Here is a 4,162-nt window from a genome sequence, read left to right as displayed (position 1 = left end):
GTTGCCCAGGCTGGAGTGCAATGATGCAATCTTGGCTCACTGCAACCTCCACCTCCTGGGTTCAAGTGATTCTCCTGCCTCAGCCTCCCAAGTAGCTGGGATTACAGGCGTATGCCACCACCACACCTGGCTAATTTTGTATTTTTAGTAGACATTGGGTTTCACCATGTTGGTCAGCTGGTCTTGAACTCCTGACCTCAGGTGATCTGCCCACCTCGACCTCTCAAAGTGCTAGGATTATAGGTGTGAGCCACTGTGCCTGGCCTGTTATTATTATTTATTACGTCGTAATACTAGAAAAGGAACATGAGGATCCTGGTTTATGGAGCATTTCCTTGATCTTGCCTCGGCTGGTTGGGGTTCCGGGCCAGCCTGAGCCACATGGAATTATTCCAGATGTATCCAGTTATGTTCTTTGTGGAGATGAGTGCAGCCAGGAAAATTTCCAGCTTCATTTTCGGGGCCTCTTAGCAGATCTCAGGGTTTGCCTTGGGTCTTCAGAGGAGTTAGGAGGCTGGCAAAGCATTCAGAGGAAGCCCAGGAGCAAGCCCAGGGCACCAGCCAGCCCTGAGTCTGCTGAGAGGCGGAGCCCAGTCCAGACCACCAGGGCCAGCTTCAGGGGCAGGCAGCCTGTGCATCACACGGATCCCCGGGCTCAGAACGGCCCTGTGCTTGCTCAAATGCTCTGCTGTTCCCACCTTGAAATTCTTAATATTTTTTGAACAAGGGGCCCCACATTTTCATTTTGCACTGGGCCCTGCAAACTACACAGCTGGTCCTGACCACCACTCACCACAAGGGGCAATGTCCTTTGAGAGGCAAGGTCCCATTCACTGGCCTCCAGGTGAAATCAGGGACGCGGTCTCCAGAGTCACCAGCAGACAGCAAGGCAGGTGAGCATCTGGCTTGGGAGGCAATTTGCCTGGGCTCATTTTCTGCCTCTGCCACTCCATAGTTCCATGGCTTTAAGCCATTACCTATCCTCTGTGCCTCAGTTTCCTTCTTTTTTTTTTTTTTTTTTTTTTTTTTTGGAGAGAAGGAAGGTCTCTGTTGCTCAAGCAGGAGTGCAGTGGTGTGATCATAGCTCGCTGCAGCCTTGACCCCCCTGGGCTTATCCTCCCATCTCAGCCTCCTGAGTAGCTGGGACTACAGGAATGTGCCACTACGCTCGGCTAATTTTTAAATGTTTTTATAGAGACAGGGTCTTGCTATGTTGCTCAGGCTGGTCTCAAACTCCTGGGCTCAAGCAATTCCCAAAGAGCTCAGGTGAGATCAGGAAATGCTCCACGGCAGGATGAGTAGCTGGGATTACAGGCATGAGCACCCAGCTCCACTGAATGATTTTAAGCAGGCAGATGACACGGTCTGACTCAGGCTTTCAAAAGATCCCTTCCAGCTGCAGGGAGGAGAACGACTTGTAAGAGACAAGAGTGACAGCAGGGAGCCCAGGTGAAAGGCTGCTACATTCCTCCAGGCAGGACATGATGGTGCCTGGATCAGGGAGAGAGAGCGGTGGCGTGGTGAGAAGTCGGATTCAGGATTTATTCTGAAGGGTGCCCCAATGACTGGCTGATGGACTGGATGGAACAGGGCAGAGGGCACAGGAGAATTGAAGGATGAGTCCTACAATTTCAGGCTGAAAATATTAGGGTGAGAAAGAGGTGAGGAAGGTGAGGCAAGTGTGGTCTGGGGAGGGCGTGGGGAGTCAGTGGCACTTTGTGATATCTGCATGGAGTTCTTGAATAGGTAGTTAGTACAGAGTGTACTACATAGTACAAAGGAGAATTGATGTCATAGGTGTAAATTTAGGATTCACCCAAATATAGATGGTATTTCTAAGACTTGGGACTGAATATGATCAGCACAGGCTCTATGTGGACAGGGGAGAGGAGAGGGCCAAAGACTGAACTCTGGTTTAGTCCAACATTCAGAAGTCAGGAGGAAGAGGAGGGGCCAGCAATGATGGCTGAGGAGTGGGCAGGGAGGTAGGTGGAAAGCCAGGAGTATCTGTCATCCCCAGAATCAAGAAGAATGCACTCCAGTGACATGATCGATGGTCTCAAATGCTGCCGAGAGTTTGGGTACATGGATGAGTGAGGATGGACGGCTGGATTTAACAAGATGGAGATTGTGATGATTGTCTTGGGCAGATTCAGTGGTGTGGTTCACTAAAGACAGCTGCGAAGGAACCGGAAACACAGATGTGTGCAACTCAAGAGACGGTGCAGTCAGGAGAAGCACAGAACCAGTACGGTGGTTAGAGGGGAAAGGGATGCTGGCAGAGGTTTTCCTTTTAATGTTGAAGGGGGAAAATACACAATACAGGAAGTGGAGAAGAGACAAATGCAGGAATAAAGTCCCCAAGGAGAAGGGATGCAGGCCAGTGCACAGGGAAGTTGGACTTAGGTGGAGGAGGGAGGAAAAGTGGAGTCTGTGGCACAGATGCAGGTCTGCTGAGGAAGGGCAGGGACTTCTCTTCTGACTGCTCCTATTTTCTCAGCGAAATAAGGAGCAAGTCATCAGCTGAGAGTAAGGAGGGAGAGAGTGTATTGAAGATCGACGAAAGAGGAGAAAATGCAAGATAGCAATCCCTGGGTGGAAGGAAAATTGGGGGAAGGAGGAAGTGGAGGGGGACTGTCGGCAGCGCTGAGGATCCACTTGAATTGTGCGGGCCCAAATTTAAAAACAGACCCGTCGGCACGGTTGTGTGTTCTACAGACACTGTTCAGCTTAGGCACAGCTATAAACAGCTGGATTTCATCAAGGTTTGGGTTTTGCTGGAAGAATTCAGAAAAAGGAGAAGGGGGCAAGAGAGTTGGTGCACGCAGGGGCATGGCTGTGGGTGTGGAACTAGCGTTGAAGATGGGCCCGCTTGGTACAGGCATCCCTGCCCTGGGGTTGTTACATCAGAAGCTGGGCTTACTTATTTCAAAGACTCATGAAAGCAGAAGGACTTGACCTCACTTCCCCTGGCCGGGACTAGTTCATCAGACCTGGCCTGTGTACTGGATTGAACAGAGTTCCCCCAAAGAGATAGATTTCAGTGCCTTTGAATGTGACCTTATTGGAAACAAGGTCTTTGCAGATTTAACCAAGGTAAGAGAAGGATTAGGGTGGGCCCTAACTCTAGTGTCTTTGTGAGAGAAAGGGGAGGGAGATTTGGACAGAGATACAGACACAGAGCGGAGGCCATGTGAAGAAGGACGCAGAGATGGGAACGGTGCTAACGCAAGCCAAGGAGTCCCAGGAGCCCCCAGGAGCTGGAAAAAGCGAGGCAGGATTCTCCGCTAGAGACCCGGGAGGGAGCACAGCCTGCTGACCCCTCATTTTTGAACCTCTGACCCCCAGGTCTATGAGAGAAGGTATGTCTATCGCTTTTTTGTTTTTGTTTTTTGAGACGGAGTCTAGCTCTGTCACCCAGGCTGCAGTGCAGTGGTGTAATCTCGGTTCACTGCAACCTCCGCCTCCCGGGTTCAAGCGATTCTCCTGCCTCAGCCTCCCAAGTAGCTGGTGTTATAGGCACATGCCACTACGCCTGGCTACTTTTTCTATTTTTTAGTAGAGACAGGATTTCATTGTGTCGGCCAGGCTGGTCTGGAACTCCTGACCTTGTGATCTGCCTGCTTCCACTTCCCAAAGTGCTGGGATTACAAGCATGAGCCACCGTGCCCAGCCCTGTATATCTATTATTTTATGCCACCCAATTTGTGGTGCTTTTTTTACTGTGGCCACAAGAAACTAATACAGCCTTCTAACAAGATTATCTGTTACTGAATAAATCCAACAAGTTTAGGAATTCAAAAGATTTTTTCCTGCATGGCATCTATTCTGAGGCCAAAGGAAAAATCATTCTAGTCATATCTCTAGATACTTTACTTAATCCTTAATATGCTCTGGGTACATTACTTAATAGTTGGTGTGTTAACTTTCTTTATTTTTACTTTTATTTTTATTTTTAAAGATATAGACAGGGTCTCACTATGTTGCCCAGGCTGGTTTCGAACTCCTGGACTCAAGGAACCCTCCTGCCTTGACCTCCCAAAATGCTGGGATTACAGGCATGAGCCACCATGCCCAGCCTGCATGAACTTTCTTTCTTTCTTTTTTTTTTTTTTGAGACAGAGTCTTGCTCTGTTGCCCAGGCTGGAGTGCAGTGGCTCCA

Source organism: Homo sapiens, chromosome 20 (genome assembly GCF_000001405.40).
Source record: "Homo sapiens chromosome 20, GRCh38.p14 Primary Assembly".
NCBI lineage: Eukaryota > Metazoa > Chordata > Mammalia > Primates > Hominidae > Homo > Homo sapiens.
The sequence above is the reverse complement of the archived record's forward strand: the minus strand, read 5'-3'. Positions refer to the sequence as shown.